The sequence below is a fragment of the Homo sapiens genome, chromosome 2 (assembly GCF_000001405.40).
Source record: "Homo sapiens chromosome 2, GRCh38.p14 Primary Assembly".
Taxonomy (NCBI): domain Eukaryota; kingdom Metazoa; phylum Chordata; class Mammalia; order Primates; family Hominidae; genus Homo; species Homo sapiens.
Genome location: NC_000002.12, coordinates 235,789,856 through 235,812,911, shown reverse-complemented (window position 1 = coordinate 235,812,911; position 23,056 = coordinate 235,789,856). Strand labels below are relative to the sequence as shown.

General features: G+C 44.7%; 1 protein-coding gene and 1 long non-coding RNA gene across 7 annotated transcripts in view, besides 2 other annotated features; one reads left to right on the top strand and one right to left on the bottom strand.

Moving 5' to 3' along the window:
* The window catches only part of AGAP1 (ArfGAP with GTPase domain, ankyrin repeat and PH domain 1), a 637,751-nt gene that overhangs the window by 318,882 nt on the left and 295,813 nt on the right, over positions 1-23,056 (bottom strand). For all 5 annotated transcript variants that reach the window (NM_001037131.3, NM_014914.5, NM_001244888.2 and 2 more), the window contains exons 7-9: positions 15,026-15,153; positions 13,390-13,545; positions 5,581-5,673 (exon numbers count right to left, since the gene is read on the bottom strand). In NM_001037131.3, the coding sequence (NP_001032208.1) occupies positions 5,581-5,673; positions 13,390-13,545; positions 15,026-15,153 (377 nt within the window). The remainder of the gene's footprint in view (positions 1-5,580; positions 5,674-13,389; positions 13,546-15,025; positions 15,154-23,056) is intronic.
* Positions 17,613-17,907: a silencer, noted in NCBI's record as "tiled region #1374; K562 Repressive non-DNase unmatched - State 23:Low". NCBI's record gives its function as "represses a minimal TATA promoter and a strong SV40 promoter by Sharpr-MPRA in K562 cells {active_cell/tissue: K562}" and the evidence as "EXISTENCE:reporter gene assay evidence [ECO:0000049][PMID:27701403]".
* Positions 19,389-19,889: an enhancer, noted in NCBI's record as "H3K4me1 hESC enhancer chr2:236701667-236702167 (GRCh37/hg19 assembly coordinates)". NCBI's record gives its function as "activates a minimal SCP1, AML or CMV promoter by ChIP-STARR-seq in primed H9 embryonic stem cells {active_cell/tissue: H9 hESC(primed)}" and the evidence as "EXISTENCE:reporter gene assay evidence [ECO:0000049][PMID:30033119]".
* The window catches only part of LOC105373942 (uncharacterized), a 42,554-nt gene continuing 42,158 nt past the window's right edge, over positions 22,661-23,056 (top strand). For both annotated transcript variants that reach the window (XR_001739943.3, XR_001739944.2), the window contains exon 1: positions 22,661-22,981. This is a non-coding gene — a long non-coding RNA (uncharacterized LOC105373942). The remainder of the gene's footprint in view (positions 22,982-23,056) is intronic.

The window sequence follows — 23,056 nt, the reverse complement described above, 5'->3', positions numbered from 1 at the left end:
ATTATCTGCTTCTGGGGAGCAAAACGGGCCCCTACGCCCAGGCAGAGCTGATTTGCCACGTGGGTGGACATCGTACGCTCGGCGGGCCTCTCGCTCACCTTGGTTCCTCAATGGTGGGGCTTAATAAACGTGAGCCGTCCTCCTGTAAACCTCTGCCTACGCAGAGAGGCCGCAGGCCTGTGGAGCTCCTCTCTCCATGCCCCTGAAGGAAGGGCACTGCCATTCCTCTCCATCTCCTCCGATCTCTATCAAGTTTCAGCGTGGTCTTCACATTTGTTTCCTCCATGAAAGCAGCACACGCCGGTGAAGCAGTCAACCAACTCGCTGTGAGCAGTGTCAAAGTTTCAGGAGCTGTTAACGCTGGCGTCATTAGGCTGCTTTCATTCTGCCCATGCCACACAATACACCCCTCGTGTTGATCCCAGGTACCAGACAACACAGGTCGGTGGCCTGCGGCAGGCTGGACGAGGGGATTAACTCCAGAGGTTCCTTTCACTTAATTGACAATTGCCTCTTTCTACTCAACTGAGAATCAAAACACGCACAGCTTCAAAACAGTTCACAGGCCCGATGGCGGGTGCGGCGGGCTTGCCCCGGGCAGGCCGGCTCTTCCTCTGACAGCTTGGGAAGGCTTTTCCCACGGCTTCAGATGGCTGCTGGGAAATGACTGCTCTCACAGCTGACTCCCTGGAGGTGGCCATGACATCAGGGTTCAAGGTCAAAATGAAGACTTAAAAAAAAAAAGTTTTTTTGAGGGATGTTGCTCCTTTGGTGCATCCACCGAGCATCACAAAAGGGAGCGTGCCTGATGGAGGGTCCCCCGCAGCGCCCTGCAGCCCAAAGAACTGAGAAACAGCACCTTGGCGGGCATCGCAGAGGACGGACCAGAGTGGGTGGCCTGCAAGAAAAGGATCCCCAGCATGTGACCACCGCAGCTGTCAACAGGGCTGTTGCCTCCTGATGCACACGTCTTTGCCTACCTTTCTTCAAGGCAAGCAGAGACCTGGTTCTCTCAAAACATCAGCCAGGTGATCAAATAAACACAAAACTTCTGAAAGTCGTAGGCAATGTTTTTCCCATGAATCTCTAAGAGCTCTCTGTGAGTCCTGCTAGCACTTAAATCCTTAAACACAAAACCAAGAGCGTGAGACACCCTGGCCAGAGCTGGGCCGGGCCGGGGGCGGCCCCTCTGAGGGGTCTGCATGACAGGGAGCGGTCGTCCCCATGGCCTGAGGTACAGAGCATGCCCCGCACACTTTCTGTATTTCTCATTCCTGACTAACCCTAGGAATGCCAATCCCCTGATGGTCCAACCACGAACCAGGGACGGGGAATAATCAGTAAATACAGTTGGCCTGTCTGAAAAAGGAAGAAAAGACTCCCAAATGGAAGCATGATAAGGCAAAGATGGTATCTTCTATTCTTTTTTATTCTCTGAAACCTCAGGAGACAACACAACGTCTCAAAAGATGTAGTGAGGAGGTTCTGTGTGTCCCCACCAAGTAAAAATGATACGCTTTCAATTGCGTAAGCACGATGAGATAAACTGAGCATGATTTTCAAAAAATTCAAATCCTTCTAGCGTACGCTACCAAGTACAAGGCAAGTCTTGAACGGTTTATGCAGCCTGGACATCAGAGGCAGGAGGGGATGGACAGGTTCTCTGGCCGGGGCTCTGCGAAGGGCACGGAGGAGGCCAAGGCGTATGACTGTGTATCTGTACTCAAATATAGAGATTAAAAAATGCTAAAGAGAAAGAAAGAAAGGAGAGCACACAGCTGCTGTCCCCCAAACAGACCTCCCATCTGCCACCCACGATTTGCATGTCACCTTCTCCGGGCTCATTTGTACTTCATTAACTGCCATTGACTTAACAAGATTTATGCAAATGGCACCATAGGAGCTCCCTAACTCCCACTGCAATCAAGTGATTATGTATGTACAACTCTCCACAGCAATGAAAAATTAATACGTGACAAACCCACTTGCCGCTGAGCCGGGCCTCTGGCTTTTTCTTGCTTTGCTTCTTAATTTTTACTCGAATAGACCTTATTAGTAAAAAAAAAAAAAAAAAAAAAGAAACCGAATTCTCTGAACCAACCTCCTCCAAGACCCCAGAAAGGACACCAAAGGAGAAGTAGACCCAGGTCCACAAGAAATGAAGTTATAGTCCAGAAAATAAGTCATATTCTTGATGGGGAATCTTTAATCGGGAGAAAGAAGAAAGAGACAACGTCATTGACCATCATGATTTGGCAAGCTCCCACACTGAGGTGGGGGGAGCCTGGATGCTTACAGCGAACGAGGTATCAGATGGAAGTGAAAGGGGGTTAACATAAGCCACTGCGACACGTACTATCTGTAAACTCTGGGGTTAGATTGCAGAGAGTGTTGAAGGCTGCCTTGCCTGGATCCTAAACCATCCATTACAAGACTCCTGCTGGGGGAAAGAAGAGTCTGCATTAGCAACTCCACGCAGGTTGCTGGGGTTCTAAAACGACTCCTCTGCCATTAGGCAAAGGTCCATTAGCTGGTGTGTGAGGCTTCGATCATGCAGACCCGAGTCTTTCACATGGGCTGAGCATTAAGACACAGTTCTCTGCAGCAAGTGACAAGAGCAGAGAACATGTTTGCGGCAAACACGGTAAGGATGGGAATGGAATGACGCCTCCCACCCGGAGAATGGCTGAGCAGGGCTGTGTTATCCCTGGAGAAATATGTTGCTGCAGGCAGTCTCAGAAGTTTCTTTATACAGTCGTAAGATATTTTTGTCTCAGGTCGTGGTTCACTTACTTAATTTAAAACATGTAACTTTGCTTCCTAAGCTTTCTGAAGGCTTTTCATCAATGGGCAGTGGAGAGAGCGCAGACATAGGGGCAGAGAGGCCTGGTCCGAATCCTTGGACCTACTTCCTAGCTGCCTGGTATAGGGCCCTCCCTATCTCTGTGTTTAAAATAAGGAGAACACAGCTACCATAACTGTGGCAATGTCGAGGATTAAGTGGGATCTTGTATGAACAGCACTTACATAATAAGCACTCATTTAATTGTTCATTTATTCAACAAATAATTTGGTTGAGTTTCTAGAATATGGCCATCAGGCTCCATCCCCTGCAATCCTCTCATTTCATTTCCACACTGAAGTCATCACACCAGGAAGGTCAGGAATTCAGGCTACCTGAAGTGATCTATGTTCCTTTAGAAACAAGGGTACACACAGGGATGTGAGATAGATCGATACAACCGTCTGCAAACCCACATCAATCCGTCCGATGCACAGAGAGGCTTTGACAAGGGTGCCCCGATTTAAAAATCCAGTTTTGCTAACATTTAAAAATTCTCTGTGGAACCTCCACATCTAACTGCTTCAAGGGCTTCAGACATCATCCAGTTCCCCATTTTACAGACGAGGCACCCGAGGCCTGGAGAGCTGGCCACGGGGGCACTTTGCTGGGACAGGTGTGGATGTGAGGAGGGAGCTGTCTGTGGCTGCAAGAGGGGGACAATTAGGAGGGACAAGGAGCTCCCTGTGCCCAGGAGTCACCGGGAAATCAGACCATGATTTAGATTTCAACGAGATTCCTTTGAACATTCACAATCGAAAGGCATCCAAGGACTGGATAATACTCATTTTACGCTTGATGGTCAGTTCCAATCTGCACACATATTGAAAAGCTAGCCTGCAAAGCTAGCCCCCTCCACAGATGAGCAGGTACAAATTGAATGAAGGTTCCAATTATACCGGGGGCCCACCTGGCTCGCACAGAGGGACTCCCGCCAGGCTGGTGAGCGCTCCCACCCAAATCACCCAAATCAACCACAGACAGGCATTAAGAAAACAGTCTATTATTAAGTTTTAATATTCCCCAAAGGAAATGTCCTGGTACCAGTTTATGAAAAAGAATTATTTTTATAACTGATTTTTATAATTCCAGTTGAAAAAGGTATCAGTGGCATAAAAATTACACAGTAACATTAGCTTATGCAGAGTTAGGTTATAAATAAAGGCACCAAGAAAGAATAAGCAACTATGTGCACGGACCTCTGAAGTGTTTTATAGTGAAAACACCACCCATCATCAAAGTGGAAAGTTCTGTTGTTGTTGTCTTTGAATATATGGAGGGAAGAGAATTTCTCCTAAAGGTGCCCCGGGCCAATCCATATATTTGCGGCCCAGTAGATGATCATGTATCTTACATAGATGCCTGAGGGCCTTGGTGATGACCTGCAGGCCTCCTTCTTCTCTGCCTGGCAAAGGCGTGCCCTGTGAGCACGGAAGGAGAAAGCTTGCTCCCGGGCAGGGTCGGTTACGCTGTGGGCAGAGGTGTGGTTTTTGCAGTAGTTCCTGGGCTCCTTGGGAAACTCTGTGGACTCCCTCCTCTGGTCTCACCCAAGATGCTGTGGCCCTATTTAACCCCTTCCTCTCCCACATCTTCACGCTGACACTGGCTGGCCCCTCTCTAAGGCTGCGTTCCTATTTGCTTCAAATGGACGAAACCTGCACCACCAGAATAATCCAACTCCATGTGTGGAAAGACTCTCCCCTTTTTAAGGGCAGCCAGTGCCTACACAGTTCCTAAGGGATTACCGATGCTGTGTAGGTGCCCGCAGGAGAGAGGAGAGCAAAGCAGTGAGCTGGACCGGAGGTGCACACCGGTCACAAGCCCTGTGCCTGAGAGGCGGAGCCATTCTCCTGCCCACAGAGGCTTCTGCTCAAGAAGGATGCACTCTAAATCAATTGGCTTTCTTTAACAAACCAAAAGATGACATTTCAGAAGCCACTGTGTGGGGTTGAACTCTATTTTTATTCTCCTTGGAAATCAAACCACAATCTACGTCACACGTGGACTCCAGGGTTTTTTTTTTTTCTTATTGGAGATATAAAGTGATTTAGAATCTGGTTTCTGGGCTAATGAAACCCTGTTCCAGGCTAGCAACATAGGCCAAAACAAATGGTTGAATTCAAGTCCTGTTGTGTAATGAGAAAGTTTAATTAAGGCCCCACATTACAGCTGTAAATGTTCCTTTATATAATAAGGTCTAAATGAAACCGAACCTAATCAAAGTTACAATTCCTTCATTAGCAAATTACAAACAAGAGCGCACAGCTGACACACCGGCTATGATTATCACAACTAATTGCCTCGTTGTTACAAACCAGCCTGAAACAGTGTTCAGATGTCCGTCTGTGAGAGCAAATTAGGGCCACGTCGGGCTGTTCCTGTGATCACAAGGGGCTCTTGTAGGCGATCTGAGTTACCCCTGTTGCCCGGCGGCCCGCGGCCCAATCAAAGCCGTGCTACAAAGGCAGCCTTTGAAAGCTCTCAGCCTGGAAACGCACTCCATATGCAGGCGGGCAGCCCGCACTTCATTAGGTCTGTTGTCTCCGTTCCCTCTTCTCATTCTAATGATCCCATTTGAATACACACAGGAACTCTGCTAATTGATGTCAAGTGAGAGACTTCTACATTCATCAACAGAGCACATCAGACAGACCTTGGTGCGAGAGCCAGCATCATCTCCAGGAAGACCTGAGGTGTATCTCCGGCGACAGGGAGGGAAGGATGGGGAGGCTGCTCACCTGTTTAATTGGGATGGCTCGGCCGCTCCCAATGCTGTCCGCACGACTCTCCAGGCCTTTCTTCTCTTTGTCTGGGTCGCTCCCTTTCCGAGACTGCAAAGCAAAAGGAAAGTTGGCATCTGGGTAAGGGCTGTGGTTCACAGACGGGGCTCTGCCCCTGTTTGCAGAATTCCTGCCAATACACATTTAGAAAACATGCGCGATCTATGTGTGCGCACAGACACGTCCGACGAGCAGACAGCTCAGTAGTTCATCTCCACTGACTCATCATTTTTAAAGAGAATCATCTAAACTTTCCCCCTGACTTTTCCACCACAGAATTATCTTTTAATTCTTTTTTAAAAAGTTCAAAATTCAACTACTAGAAACCAATGGGCCATATGGGAAAGTAACGCCCAACAGAAAAACACTTGAAAGCTGCAGTTCACACAGCCGAGGAAAAAAGGGGCTGCTCAATGTTTATTTGGAAAATCTACTACATCAACATATGTATTTAATTAATGTTTGAATGATTTTAAAATTCTGTTGACTAGTCAGCTGTGCGATTTAACGGCACACTCTTGATTAGTATCAAGGTGCTGTTAACATTTTCCGTTTTTGCTTCTGGATGGTTGGAAAATGGCAAATTCGAAGTTAAGCTAGTGGACAATACCACAAAAAATAATGAAGGGGAAAAAAAACCCCTGATAATCGCCTTTGGACGAAAGGTCAGTATTTGGGAAATAATGAACAGCTTTATTTGACAAGGTCCTGAGTCAATTATCTCCGATGCACTGCTGACGTGCTGCGGACGACGAGTGGCTGCCACCGGGCAGGAAGGGTGGTGACCTTTAACCCAGGGAAGCCCCAACCAAAAGCGCACCTTGACTTGGGTAAAACTGAAGGAGCTCCATCGTCTCAGTCTCCTCTCTCGATGGCATGAGAAAGTGTGAGCACAATGATTTTCTGACAGATTTATTTTATTATGAGAGAAAGATTGGAGACTCGTCCTCCTTAATAACTGTGCTGACAAGTGACAACTTCACTCCATTACTTTTCAATGGGAACATTACTCACACAATATTGAAAATGGAGAAACATTTTCACGTGCTTTTCAAATCTGAGATGATATATGAAATGAACAGACTTTGTGGTGTCCACTGCTACAATGAAAAGCTAATGGAATCCAGGTTCAAAGGGATGTGAGCTGGAACAGCTGATTTAAAAAACATACATATTAAAGGGGCAATGTCATGGGTCATAATACAAACAAGGGCTGATGGGACGCATTTAGGATTCCAGAAGAGGCTGCTACCAAATTAAGGAGGAGGACAAGGAGAACAGTTCCCATGATGGAAACTCAGATCTAGCACTTCAAAGGGTGCTACTCTCCTGGGCAGCTGTGCTCATTAGGAAACATGCTTCTCAGATGGTGATAAGAGCTGATGCTTATTGAACACCTACTACGTGCCAAGCACTGTGCACTTGTTTCCCCCTTAGGTTGGTGGATGCCTAGAATGAGATGACAGGGAATAAATCAAGCAACAAATATGAAGTTGCAGAAGAATATAAAACGTAAGGTTAACCCTTTGGGCTAGAAGGAAAATAGAGATATTTATCAATTCTTTGTCAAGGGCTCATTTTTCTTTTTAATTAATTCTTAATACTGTATAGTAAGAGCTACACAATAGCCTTAAATTCTTTTCTCCACATCACAGTTGATGAGAAAAGCTGGCTCCTGAGGTTCCTAGTTTTAAAATGAATTTCAAAGCACACAGTGATAACATTAAAAAAATTTTTTTTTAATTAACAAAAAATATTTAAGAGTACTTTGGGAATTTTACAAATTCTAAATTTCTAAATTTGGAAATCCATCTTCATTATTCTGGTTAATTAAACCAGAATAATTAACAAAACAAACTTTAAAAAAATTAACATCTTCCTGTAACAAGGCAGCTCATCTGTCCCCCCAGCCAATCCATTCTCAGAGCAGAATTTCAGATTCCACTTGAAATGGGAAGAAATAGCTCATTGCCCTGCTGTAAACACCTTAGAACATGAACTGTGAACCACCAAACTCAATATCTGATCACACACTCTGAGATAAAAGAGACTGAAACTTCGGTAAGACTTCATTGCAAAAATAAAACAAAAATTTCCTGACAACTTTAACAATTTGCCGGAGACAGTCAAAAAACTAAAATTTCGGGAAAGAACAGTGGCAAGATGTTAGGCAAAAGAGTTTGCTGTACCTCAGCCCCACAATTAGTTTGTCTACATCAGGCTGTATCCATAAAATTTAAATCCAACAACCAGACTAAATCAAATCCAATGGACATAGACACCCCAGCATATACAAATTCCCAGTAAGGTTTCCTTTCTCTGCTAACTTGGGAGACCTCATCACTAATGGCACATCCTTCCGTGATGCTGGAATGGATCCGAGGAATCATCAGACACAAGGCAGCCCTCAGCACCCACGGCGTCTGCCAGGAGTGACCCTGCCCTGCATACAGCCTGCTGCACACTGCCAGAAATGGAACAGCAGCAGATCACACCCAGAAGGGCTGCAGATTTTAAGTCAACGCACAGCAAGCCACCATAGTAACTGCTTAGCCTCCAACAAACACTCGATGCAGAGGAAAGAAAGGTTAAGGTAATCCAATTATCACCTGCTTCTTTACAAAAATGTTTAACTTCCCCTGCCGTGGTGAGAGAAGCCATGGAGGACACTCCCATCAACTAACTACCTGCCTACAGGAACAAGCGCATCATTGCCAAGAGCCCTCTGTATCAAAGAGAAGCCCGTTTACCCCCTTTCAACCAGTGGCTAAGTCAACGGCTGCTGGAACACACTAGGGGAGGTACCCAGGAGCTCCTCTGCAAAAACAAATAAATGCCATTGAAACAGTTCTCTTCGCACTATGAATTTTGCTGCCTTATTTTTTTATGGCAAGTTTCTGAGCTGGGCAATGTATATTCACAATCTTTGGTTCCTGGGTGCACTTGGCTCTGTTTAATGGTATCAACATTATATGGTAAGCTTTTTAAAAATATCACATAAATAACATCGTTATTATAAAGCTTGAAAATGGACAAGGCCATGTAATGTATAATTTCAAGACTCACACTAGAACAAGTTTACAGCATGGACACAGATAATATAGACCAAATTCAGGTTAATGCTGATCCCTAGGCAGACAGGCAGGAGAAACGTGTTCTGGAGGCACATGGAAGGAGCTGCAACTTTTACTTAGGATTTGCTTATTTCTTGCAGTAGCAGCGTAGCAGAAAAGGGCTTGTATTTGATGAAGCGTGTGGTGAGTACACACGTGTTTATTTCTGTATGTTTGAAAAATTTTTCTAATAAAACACTTTAACCACGTGTAAACTAGGGCCGCTAAACTAAATTAATTGCTCTAAGAACCCATATTACCAAACTAGGGATTAAATGGATACAGTCTTTTAATGTTTGTTTTTTTTCCAAAGAAATAAGTGAAATAAAATATAACTCAGTGTTTGATTAGTAAAGTAGAATTCCTACTGCAAATGTAACATATAATTTGGACTAATACAGAGATTTTATTTGTACTATTTTATAAAAAAGTCATTTATTTTTGTTTAAAAATTGTATATGAATATATGCAAACAAACATCTGGGAGCACAAAATGTTAGCCCAGAGCAGTGCATTACAGTGTACTTTATAAAATGTGTAAAATGGTATTGGAAAAAATGATACATGCATTACTTAATTAACTATGGCCTCTTTATGATGTTCTAATAAATAAGGTGGATAGTGCCCCTCCAGCTGGGTGTTACAATCCCAGTCTGCACGAATTTTTATTCACTAAGATTGTCTGCATATCATGCATCTGTCCTCTGACTAGACACTTCCAAATAAATACACATTTTGACAGTTTATGCCTATAATCACCAACAACTGCCAGGGATGAAGAGTCTATTCAATTTTACATATTTAAAAATAGAAGAAAACTGGTCATGATAAAAATTTAATATCTTAATTGCTATGATTTCACAATTAATTTGCCTTCTTTTTGTTCCTTGGATGACACTGACATCTAGTGGAGTTACTATTTCCAGGAACTTCAACTTAAGACTACACCGCATGCATCATCACCACCACCACCACTACCACCACAACCATCATCACCATCACCACAACCACAACCATCATCACCATCATGACCATCACCATCACCACAACCATCATCATCACCATCACAACCATCATCACCATCACCACAACCATCATCACCATCACAACTATCACCACCATCACCACAACCATCATCACCATCACAACCATCACCACCATCACAACCACAACCATCACCACCATCACAACCATCACAACCACAACCATCATCACAACCATCATCACCACCATTACAACCATCATAACCACAACCACAACCATCACACCATCACAACCATCATCACCATCACAACCACAAGCAGCATCATCACCATCACAACCATCATCACAACCATAACCATCATCACAACCACAACATCACCACCACCACCACAACCATCATCACCATCACAACCACAACCATCATCACAACCACAACCATCACCACCACCATCACAACCATCACCATCACAACCACAACCATCATTATCACAACCATCATCACCACCACAACCATCATCACCACAACCACAACCATCATCATCACCACAACCATCATCACCACCATCATTTTGTTCAGTGTCAAACCCACTGAGGACCAACATATGGATCCCTGCCCAGAACTTTCACTGTCTTTTCCTTAAATGCCACAATGCAAACCTATTGCAGTGGTAGCTTCTTTTATGACTCCAAATTTCTATTCCCACTAATGCCATGGGACAGCTGGATTCAATTTCTGATCTGATCTCAAATTTATTTTCCAAGATTAAGGAGAAAGATAACAAACACTGGTCACCCTTAGATCCATAGGCAGACCATTATATTATGTGACACATTAATGGTGAAATAATTAATGGTGATTTTTGGTCACTGTAACAATGAGTTTTTACTGGCTTCTGCACCTGCCCTGCCCGGCCTCTTCATGGATGCCTGTAAGTGCACCTGTGTGTCTGCAGGGTGAATCCGCAGCAACAGGGTCTCTCCTCCTAGTGTGCAGAGCCCCTTCTCCTTCACCCTAAATCGCTTTCCCTTGAACATGGGTTGACTCTGGCAGTGAGTCTTCCTCCTAGACACTGAGCAAAACCAGGGCTGTGCACAGAGCAGATGTTAAGTCAATATTTATTAAATGGGCTGTTATTTTGATTCTCTCTGCCTTCAAGTGTTCTCCTCCCTAAGTCACCTGGGTTGTCAGGTACCCAGTGGGATACTACTTTCTGGCACACTGCAGTTCCAGAGCTTATAAAGGGAGGGGATGGGAAGGTGCTGGTATTCTCCTTATAAATAGTCTCATTTTTAAAGATACTTTGTGGTTTTAAAATTTCTCTCCTTAAAAGAGAAAGCAAAGTCAACAAGCAGAAAATGTGGCCCTCAGAAGGCGTCTGAGAATGAGTGCTCTCCCCCTTCCACTCCCTTAACAAAGACACAGAAGGTGTTCTCGACCACCACGATGACAAGCCCGCCCCTCCTCCCGGGGCACAGGCCGCCTGCCCACAGCCCACCTTCTCTCAATCCAGCTGCATCTTTGGCTATTGGTTTCTCAAGCCACCGAGTCACTGTGCAGCCTGTTCTAGCAGGAAACACTTCAACCCAAAGCCCCCCAGCCTGGGGGTAGACAGGGGCTGCTCCAGGTGTTAGACGGAGCTGGGAAGCAGCTATTTAGGTGACTGCTGCTGTTCTCGGTGTGTGTGAAGAAACTGCCCAATAAAACATGTTATCCATGCACTAATTTAAGCATGTGAGATACTCACCTGTATTTTACAGAAACCTAAATACCCACCTCCTAATCTATCACATATGCTTAACACGATCAGAAATCATTTTATAGCATCAATGGAGTGAGAAAACCATGGAAGCAATGCCACCAGATCTCTTCTGCCTCCTCCAGGAAGTCTTCCCGGAAGCCCCACTGCAGAAGTACTATGGTTTCCAGCCCAGAGAGGTCAAGTAATTTGCCTAAGGTCAAACATCCGTCAGCAGCGGAGGCCGGGATGGGAGCTTGGTCTGTCTGATCAGTCCTCACCCTGCTGCCCAGCAGTGGCCTCTGTGGGAGCTGATGTGGCGCAAGGCAACTAGCAAAAGCAAGGGGAGGCTGGGGACGAGGGGGTGTGTGCAGCTGGCAACCGCCTCCGCAGTCATGAGCATCCAATGAGAGACTGCCCCAGACATGTGGCAGAGGGGCGGGGGATCTCCCAGACTTGGCAGGAATCGCAATGTAACATCAAGATCAGATTCACAAAGGGGCAGCAAATCTGACTCCCAGCCACCCCTCTAGAGCTTTGCATCTGGGTCAGCAGTAATCAACCAAAATGGAAGTCAGATGGTTTAAAACAGGGCACCACTAACATGTGGGGCTGGATAATTCCCTGCTGTGAGGGGCTGACCTATGCACTGTGGGATGCTTTGCAGCACCCCTGGTTGCTACCCACGACTAGACGTCTGCAGAACCTTTACCTTCCCACTCCCATACTCCTGTTGTGAGAGCCCAAAGTTTCTCCAGAAGTTGCCAAATGTCCTTGGAGAGCAAAACCACCCTGGTTCAGAAGCACTGTTTCAAAAGCATGTACTTGTAATGCGTGATCCAGGGAGGAAAAGCGTTCTTCTCAAGTCCAAATGCTTCAGTCACCTGACAGCAGCTGTGCCTGGAGTTTGCGGCTCAACTGTGTAGAATCCAGATTGATTGGTAATGTCTGCTATGCACAGGGAAGGGACAGGCTGGCAGCATTTTTGCCACCTCTGTAGCTCAGAGATTCTCTGCATCTCAATCACCCAGGGAGTTTTCAAGCACTTCACATGCTGGCTGTGCACTATGGCTCATGCCTGTAATCCCAGCACTTCAGGAGGACAAGGTGGGAGGGTGGCTTGAGCCCAGGAGTTCAAGACCACCCTAGGCAACACAGTAAGACCCCATTTCTTTAAAAAAAAAAAAAAAATTAGCCACACGTAGTGGTGAGTGCCTATGGTCCCAGCTACTTAGAAGGCTGAAGTGGGAGGATTTCAGGAGGTTGAGGCTGCAGTGAGCCATGACTGAGCCACTGCACTCCAGCCTGGGCAACAGAGTGAGACCCTGTCTCAAAAGAAAAAAAAAAAAAAAAGGAACAATGCATGCCCGAGTGCACCCAGATTGTGAATTTATAAACCTGAACCCAGATAGCTCATCTCTGCTTTCAACATGCTCTACAGCAAAAAACCCAAGTGGAGAGCCTCATGGCAATGAGCCTCCAGGAAGCACCTCCCAGTCCCCCACCTCCACCCCGAGGGCAGCGCCAGGCACCCCAGCAGAAGAAGAAGAGGGCCTGTGGACAGTAATAGCTTATATATCATCTGAACGGTTAGAGACACACATCTGGGAATCTTAGAGTTTTGTCATCTCCTTGTATCCACTGTGACACATCTTTAGCTGGAGCCACAGGATAACAAGTGCCTTTATACACACCCCCAGCTCTTCATTTCAGACACACGAAGTCAGGAATGTCTACATGAAGAAATTCCCATTCTACTCAACATCCAAATCTTTGCTTCTCTTAATTTTCTTAGTCCTCCACAGAAATCAATGTTATTCACTTTAATATAGTTGAGATTCTACAAATACCACTGAACCATGTGGCAACCAGGTTTACGTTAATGGGAACGCTTCGGAATCGCATTCAAATCTCCACCCAGGGTTGACACTCACGGTGAACAGGTTGGACCGGCGCTTAGACTGCTTGCGAACGGGCGTGGGCGTGTTGGCAGTGGGAGGAACATCGATCCGAAGTTCCTTCTGGCTGGTGCTGGGAGTCGATGGAACGGAGGAGGAATAGTCGCTTAAACTCCCACCTCCATTACTTGTCTGAAATGATTAAAATCCAAGGTTTCATTAACGACATACTCAGGAACCCAAGACCTCCACTTAGGCAAGGTCATAACCAACAAGTGAGCATGAGCCCCATGGAAGGGATGCATGGGAATGGCTGACTTGCGTCTATGGCTTTGCCAGGTGTATTAGTGTCATGTCTACAGAGTCTCATCCTGGAACATGCCAATCATCTCACTCAGTGGCATCCCCTGAGAAAAGTGACTGAAGACAAAGAAGTCTCTTTCATTTAACTTAAAAGATTTCTGAGAGTTCAAATTTGATTATTTTCTCTTTCCTCTGAAAATGAAAGGGGTTGGTTAAACTAAAGGGATTCTATGGTCCCTCCACTGCTCTAGATCAGCAGAACCACAGCCAACATTATGAAAATGACACCTGGAAAATCTAAGTGTTTTTGAAAAGTATTTCAAGATTCACAGAAAATTAAACACAGCAAGTGAAGACATTCTTTTTTTTTTTTTTTTTTTTTTTTGAGACAGGGTCTCACTCTGTCACCCAGGCTGGAATGCAGTGGCACAATCACACTCACTGCAGCCTAGCTCTTCTGCTGGGCAGAGGTGATCCCCCCACCTCAGCCTCCCAAGGCACAAGCCACCACGCCCAGCTAATTTTTCTCTTTTTTGTAGATACAGAGGTGTGGTTCTGCCACGTTGCCCAGGCTGGTCTTGAACTACTGAGCTCAAGCGATCCACCTGCCTTGAGCTCCCAAAGTGCTGGGATTACAGGCAACTGCCACTCAGCCCAGCCAGCATGAACATTCATGACTGTACCTTGACAGGCTCTGACAATACATGCCATAACTTACTGGCTTCCCAAGCAAACTGAAAGTACGACACCGAACCCTTCCACCATGTCCTTAAAAAAACAGTGCCAATAGAATACCTGCCCAAGAAACGTAATCAAAAAACAAGCACAGACAAAAACAAAGTCAACTGTTTCCTTAGGAGGTTGTTGGTTGAGTTCTTCAAAGTGACCATTATTTCATTTGCTTCCAAGTAAATACTTTTGCAAAATGTTGTTATGGAAAGATAGCAGTTTCTATGGGACCTAAGGGAGATGGTAATTATAATTGAATGCCACTACCAAATTTAAGTATAAAGCGAGATTGGCCATTAAGATTTACTCACAACTGTTCAACCTATAAGCAGACTAGGACCAAGACCAGAGAAGGGTGGTTTAAATCACCAGCGAGGACTGCAGCACACACCTCCCATCACCACCCGGGCCAGCATGCCTCATAACACAGGCAGCATGAAGACAGAAAACATAAAAGAATGATTCCCATAAAAATCACTTGGCCACAGCAGTTTCTGAAGAAAATGTGAAGTCAATTACAACATGCTGTTACTTATAAAGTTGAAAAGAAAAAAAAAATCAACCTTAGCATTGGCTGGGAACACTATTTGCATATTGTCTTTGGTTCTAAGAGTCTGACTTCTCATGTCACCTAACGTACCTGGCTGATGTGCACGGCAGACACCTGCGCGGAACAGACGGAGGAATGGCTGGGAGAATTAGGTAGCGACTTGCAGGGTCCTATGGACAGCTGCTGCTTCTTCCTTGTGGCAACAATCTTCTGGGCAACTGGTGGACACACAGACAAAAAGAAATCCATGTCAATCAATTTCCAAATTCAGGAACAGAGCAGAGATCATCAGTCTGTTGTCGAAATCTGTTATTTCCTTCTTTCGCAGTAATAGCATTCCTGGTTCTTAGGTGGGCAAATGACAACCAGAATAAACATGACATTTGCCAGAGCCTCCTCCCGTCCCCCCACCCCCGCATCAGCTGAACATGGCCAGGTACACAAGCTCTGGCCAGCAGGATGAGAGCAGAAGGATCACAGGGCAGCTTTTAAGGATCTTCCTGGAGAGCCTCCCTTTGCCTAAATTCTCGTATGTTTTTCCTACTTGTTGCCTGAAATGCACAAACGTTACATGGCCTCAGCAGCACTGTGGAACACGAGGCGACACTGGGAACAGGAGCCACATGGGAGACAGATAGAGCCGGTCCCCCAACTCCACAGAAGGCCTCAGCAGCCCTGCACAGACCACCTCAGAGGAATGTAAAGCAAAAAAATACACACCTATCTCATTTAAGTTATTCTCATAAAATCATCTTTTTTTCCAGTTACTTGGAACAAAAATAATCCTAAATAAGGCAGGGCAATTTAACCAAACCCCTTGGAAAGACAAAAATCTTTTTTTTTCCCCCAAAGCCTAAAGAAATCCTCTTCACTCTACAAGCTATCATAGAGAATTATATTCAAGGAGATGTAATTATATCAAAGACCTTTTTTATTTAAATATATGACTGCACACATTGTAAGTTTATCTTAATCAATACAAATCTAAATTCAACCAGCCATAACTTCTCTTGGCAAATAGGCTCGCTGATAAAGCATACTGAATGTAATTGGAAAGGAAGTCAACGATTAGAAAACTCTTCCTACACCAATGGTGTCACTGCCGCAGAATAACTACACTTTTGATTTGAATAGATGTGTGTCTTTGGGGACTAGCAGTAATTAAGTTCAATGATATTCAATCCTTGACTTTGCCTAGATAGTTGCTATTTTCGAAGATGTCCACGGAAAGGAACTTGTCATCTCTCCCCAGCAATAGGTTATAACGTAGACGGGGCCCATATAGTGTTTGCAGATAATTTCTTTTCCAAATGAATACAATTTTAATAAGAAACTGGTTTGTCCACAGCCTATGGGTTTCATGTAAATGAATGATAGTATAAATATGATTAAGTGAAAATGCAATATATAAAAAATGGCTCACAGAGAGGAAGAAGCAGCTTCATTAGTTACATCCCACCTCCAATAGGCCTCTTATCATCCTGAAAGGATGATATCAATTAATTTATCTTCCGGTAGTGTATTGATATCACATAACCTTCATCAGCTAATCATGTTTAAATTACAGAGGAATATCGCAGCACTCTGTCATCTCAGAACCATTGGCATATTGATCTGGGGTCTTTGAAGACATTTATTAGAATATTTTAAAGTCATTATGTGAACTCAAAAATAAAATCTAAGATTTCAACAGATGCAAAATGTGTTGTCTAGGTATCTTGAAATTGCAAAAACCAAAAGTAAATTAGCCAAAAATCATAATTGCCTGGGTGAGTGCTAAAGTATTGCTACTTTGTTTTTGAAAAATAGCAATAAGGGGCTTTGATTATCAATTACACTGAAATCTGATTTTACTCCCAGCTTCAGAGTTACTATTCAGCTGGATGGCCACACTGACTTTACATTCGTAAGAAATGTGCAGATGTCAGAATTAAATAGGACTAGGATGCATGCTTTGAGAGCTTTGCAGACATTTTCATTTGTAGAAACTAAGGGAAGATGCGAGAAACTTCCTAAGATAAGTCAAATATGTTATGGAAACGACTGTTGTATGAAACTTCAAATGCAAATGAATGTTCTATCCTTTCTATGGAGTCTAGGAAGAGTCAGTTCATGAGTAAAGAGAATATTTCTACAACAAAGCCTCTCATCAAACTACAGACAGGATGTACAAAGTATGAGTATTTAGCATTGTTAACTGCTAAAATTCTTCTGTCCATTTAATTACTATTCTACCACATTAATTAAAAAATAAAATGAAGTCACAACATCCGGTAACTGGTAGTAGTTTTTAAACTCTACTATTTTTTTTTCATATTTGTCCTATTTCCCCTCTACCTGTTATGTCCTTCCTGCTTCCATACACAAATCAAGGAAAGAAAATGATTTATAAATATATTGTTCTAAAATATACGGACTGCTTGAATGCTTTAAAACTACAGGGTAACCCATACGAATAAGGGAAAACTTTAATGAAGAACAAAAAGTATCTGACTTCAGGAGGAGGAGCGGGAGCATGAGGAATAGGAAGGGGAAAGGACTCCTTTGTAATGTCTGCCCATGTCTCCCCCATCTTGAAAATGCAAACTGACTACAGAGTCAATGCTGCAAATAGCCACAAATTTGCCAACGGCTGTTGCTGCTATTTGCTTGATGTCCCAGGGACGGGGTGGAATCTCTGGGCGCCTCACTTAAAGACATCCCTAAATGAATTGTTTGGGGAAGCAAAAAACTAGTATGACAACTGCCATCCAAGACATCCGCAGTCCTTCCCCACACAACCCAGCAGCAGGCTGGGTAATCTCCTAGAGGGAAAAGCTTGGTGTGTCTATGTGAGTGGAGGAACCCCCCTCCATTCCCACCCCAAAAAAACAACTCAAAGAAAATGGATGGAATGTCACGGGAGGGAGCTGCTCTTCTGTGGCTGTAATCGTTAATTACTCATACTATTTAGAACATTTAAATGTTAATAGGTTTAACATGTGAATATTACCCCAGACTGTGCTGTCTGGGAAGCTTTTTATAACCATTGAGTTTTTGTCTATATTTGATTATCCAAGAAATAAATGTGTTGTTTCATATAAATACGTATGTTCAATGTAAATGTGTGTGGGTGCATAGACATAAATATGTTCAATGTAAATGTGTGTTGGTGCATAGATCAGAAACACAATCACGTGGATTTACTTAAAAAAAATCTGGAAGCGGCTGGGCGCGGTGGCTCATACCTGTAATCCCAGCACTCTGGGAGGCCGAGGCGGGCAGATCACCTGAGGTCAGGAGTTCGAGTCCAGCCTGGCCAACATGGTGAAATCCCGTCTCTACTAAAAATACAAAAATTAGCCGGATGTGGTGGCGCATGCCTGTAATCCCAACTACTTGGGAGGCTGAGGCACGAGAATCACTTGAACCGGGGAGGCAGAGGTCGCAGTGAGCCAAGATCATGCCACTGCACTCCAGCCTGGGTAACAGAGTCAGACTATCGCAAAAAAATTAAATTTAATTTAAAAAAAATCTGGAAGCTTTGTCACTGAGATTTGATCTTTTCTCAAATTGGGCAGCACACTTCCCTATGACTCTGTCACATGAGCTACTCCCAAATCTAAAACGGTGTCAACGGGTACTGAAAACATTTGCGCTTACTACTGACACTACCAATTTAATTACCCTCCTGAGACTCCCAAGAGTAATGCTCAGTGTTCTTTTAAAAGTCACTTCCTCTATAATTTTAAAATTTTATTTGGGTTAACAGATAAAAGATACCTCTAACTAGCCCCTTCAACTGTGCAAGTGTGCGTGTGTGTGTGTACATTGTATAAAGGTGAAAACCAAGCTGGCCTCACCATGGGGTCAGAAGGGAGAATTGTGCCCATCTTCAGGGAGCAGAGCAGGCAGGTGCCTGGGACAGGACACAGGGGTTTCTGGGGTCTAGAAATAGGCCCTCCTTGACCTGAGGATAATTTTGTGACAACTTTTTAAGCCCAAATACACTTTCATGTATGTTTCCATTCTTCAATAATAAAAAAAAAGTTTAAGAACTTAACAAAAAAAGTGAGGTATACATTTACTTTATCCACAAACTGTAAATGTTCTATTCTATAGAGGGAAATAGCACCCTTTAATTAGTGGTTAAAAATAAGACAACAGCTCCCAAACAAGACTTCATTAAATCCTGACATAATGCCCAATTTCTACTTCCATCTTGTTTCTAAATCACACAAAATGAGGCAAGGAATAGCCCTTGGTCACACTAGGAGCCTCCGGGCCAACCTCACGCCCTCTATAACCAGAGGACAGCTCCTCCTCCTCCCCCTTCCTCCTTTTTGCTGCTCAAAGGCTGAGCAGGGCTAGGCGGCCCACACTTCCCATCTATTAACTCATTTCATCCTGTCAGCTCTTTCATTTTGCAGGTGAGAAAAACCAGGCAGCAAGTGCACCAGAGCAATCCGACGGCTCTGGGACTGCTCATGACACCACCATGTGGCAATCGAACACCCTGCCAGCACCCCAACAGACTGTCCTGGTTCCACAGCACGAATCATGTGTTCTTTTGCCCTGCACCCTCAGTTTGTCATCAATTTCTAACTTCTACTTGGGTGACTAAATGAAATGGATTGGGTAACTAAACAAAATGCTGAAAAGGACTGAGTGTGGTGACTGGCACACAGGAGGTGCTCGCCAAGGCTGCCCGGATTACACCGTGTGCCACGCCCCATTCCCAGCCAGGCCTTCTGGAAAGCCCGGGGATGCTGCTCGACTCTGCCTCTCCTGCTCTCTGCAATCCCTAGGCTGGGCCTGCCATTGCCATGGTCACTGGGAGTGGTCCAGAGGCTAGGTCGCACCTTCCTGGACCTCTGAGCAGCATGTGGCGTTCCTCGTCATTCCCTCCTTTCCTCTTCTGCATCCTCCTCGGGCTTCCATGAACCCTGACGTCCCTGGTTTTCCTCCTCCGGCTGGAACTTCTCTTTCTCATCCTCCCTTGCTGGCTCCTGAAGTGCGGGTGCTTCCCTGGCATCCTCCTGGTGTCCTTTTTCCCATGCCCTCTGCCTGGGCAACCTCCTCGCGAATGTCTCGGTCACCACCTCAGTGCCAGGAGCTCCCAGGATCGCCACTGCCACGAAGAGCTCTGCCTCACATCCTGCCTTCTAGAGTTGTGTAGCCAATGACCAACTCGGCATCTCCCCTTGGATCTGCTAGAGGCGCCTTCAAGTCCGCGCCGCCCAGCCTGGGCCTCCTAGCCTCTCTCAGACCTGCCTCTCGTCTGTTTTCTAGCTCAGTCGATGGCACAACCCGCTCTTCACCATGGACAGAACAGACCTAACAGATGATTGGTTCAACCACCAGAGTTTCTCAGAAATTCGTCTTCACTGCCACTGCCTTGGTCTAAGACTTATCCTTCCACAGCTGGTGACCAAAGCAACTTCCAAATGAGTCTCCCTGACTGTCCCCTAAATGCCCCTAACACACCACAGGGCGACCTCAAAGGCAAATCTTACCACAGCGCTGTTCTATTTCCAGTTTTTCAACAGCTCCTTAGCAAAACTGGGCTCTTTCATGTTTGGGGAAGGTGGCTTGTCCACTCCTGGTATTTCCGCACATTAGTACTACTGGATAAGGACCATAGTCTCTCCTGGAATAGGCAGATGAACCCCATGCAAAAGCTTTGTGGGGGACCAGATGACACGTGAAGGGTGGGGAAAAGTGGGGGCAGAGAACTAAGGAAGACACAGAGAAAGCGTATAGATTGCAGTGACACTGAAGAGCCACCATTAGATGACAACTAATGACTCGGTGTAAATCAAGCCCACGTTTGGGAAGAGGGTTCCTCTGCTACTGGGAAAGCTGGAGCACAGTGAGGCCAGTAACTTGGGAGGCGGGGGAGCAATTCCGAGTAAGCACTGTTAGGTAGGGATTATAAAGTACGAACCACACCTCCAATAAAACCGTATTTTAAATGCTCACCATAGACACACTGATGAAATTCACATGAGACTAAACACTAATTTTACTCCACGAAAATATTTTAAAAGCAAAATTTATGCAGCTGAGGGCACTGCATGTCTTGTCTCTGTCTTTGGTGTCTCCACCCAAAGGTGACACTTACTTCACATTTCATTGAAAGGCTCTTCCCGGCTGGGTGAGCTGGCTCACACCTGTAATCCCAGCACTTTGGGAGGCTGAGGCGGGCAGATCACCTGAGGTCAGGAGTTTGGACCAGCCTGGTCAACATGGTGAAACCTTGTCTCTACTAAAAATACAAAAATTAGCCAGGCATTGTGGCGTGTGCCTGTAATCCCAGCTACTTGGGAGACTGAGGCAGGAGAATCGCTTGAACCCAGGAGGCAGAGGTTGCAGTGAGCCGTGAGCCAAGATCATGCCACTGTACTCCAGTCTGGCCAAAGAGCAAGAATCCGTCTCAAAAAAAAAATCAAATCAAATCAACGTGCCATCTTATTGTTTATCACGATTCTGTGCGTCAGGAGTTTGGACAGGGCATATCAGCATATCAGGGACAGTTTGTCCCTAATCCATCCCCCGCCCCTACAAAAAAAAGAAAAGAAAAGAAAAAGAAAGAATCTTCCATTCGAACCATAGGGGGCTTACCTGGAGACCCTCCCATAAATAATGAAAGCCACTACCGGCTGTAATCTTCCAGTAACAAATAAAAGATCCCCTAACGTCTCAACTCCATTTTAAATCACAGTAAAGTGATCATTAAACTATCTTATTAAGAAGAAATTAATTACCAAATTATCTATATAGTTCAGAATGTGTGACTTCGGAGTGAAAAGAAATATGTAGAATTTTTCTCACCATGAAAATCTCAAAGTTAAATGTTAAAGAAGGTGTACTCTATATTGTTGATAATTCAAGCCCATCTCCTAAATGTGTTTTCATATGATCTGTGTTTTCAGCGATAAAGAAAAGCTAAGTCAAATCATAGCCATGTGAGGAAGCACACACATCCATGATGGTCTCTTGGGTTTTCTGGCTACAGTATGTTCCTTAATGACAATCAGTGAACCATGGGACCCATGGCATAGCCTGGCACTTACACACCTGCGGAGATCCTGCCAAACTGTGCCGTCTACTAAAGAGTACAGTCAGCCCATGTTCCAAGACAATGGGCCAATTCCACCGAGCTGGGACCTCTTCTGGAAATGCTTGAGGCCATGCTGTATTTAACTTCCCGGGGCCAGGGCCTGCCTGACACTCAGTGGGCACACAACAACTGGATGAATGAATGGATGAGTCAACAGTGGGGCTGGGGTGGGAAGGTTATAAGAAGGTAGTGGGAGAAGATGCTGAAACAGGCAACTAGAAATGCATTTCTAAGGACCTGATATGCAGAGAAGAGTGGCAAGTGTGAAGTTGTCCTTAAGGCAATGGGGGGTTATTCAAATTGAATAGAGAAGTGAAGAGATCTATGCTTTGGAAAGATACCTGGGGTGGTTAGAAGATACAGGTCATTTCTACCTGGACACTCAAGAAAGGGAGTGTGCAGGGGTGTGGGGAGCGGAGGGGCTGGGAAAGAGCCTCAGGGGCTGAACTCAGCAGCCTGGTTCCAGCGGTTTCCCGAGAAGCACACATATATTTTGTTTTGAGACTCCCATATCTAAAACTGTCCCTCTACCCTTTTACTGGATTAGTATTTTGGCAGCACACAGAATTCTAGGCTAATTATGTGTCATCTGATGATTCTAAGCTACCAAAATGAGTTCTGATAAGGTGATACAAGCTCAGTGATACAGTTTTAGCTAAACTCCGAAAATTTCTTTAATGTACGTTCCATCTTCCCATAAGCACGGCGACCCCACAAGGAGAAATTCATTATCCTTGTTCTAGAAGAGGCTTTCATCATTTTTTTTGCCACTACCTTTAAAATCAGCACTTAGCTATTCACCCCAAATCTACCGATTCCCACCCATCCTTCACATGGATGCTGCATTTATGAACAAGTCTGGTCCAGCTACTTCCACATTTCAACAGGACAAATTCTAAACCATCAGAGTAATTTTCCAATCAGAACAAATACTAACAAGGAAGGTAAGACATCCTGCAACTAAACAGGTCATAAATTTAACTTAGGGGTGTGTAAATAGGAAATGCTCTTCTATGCAT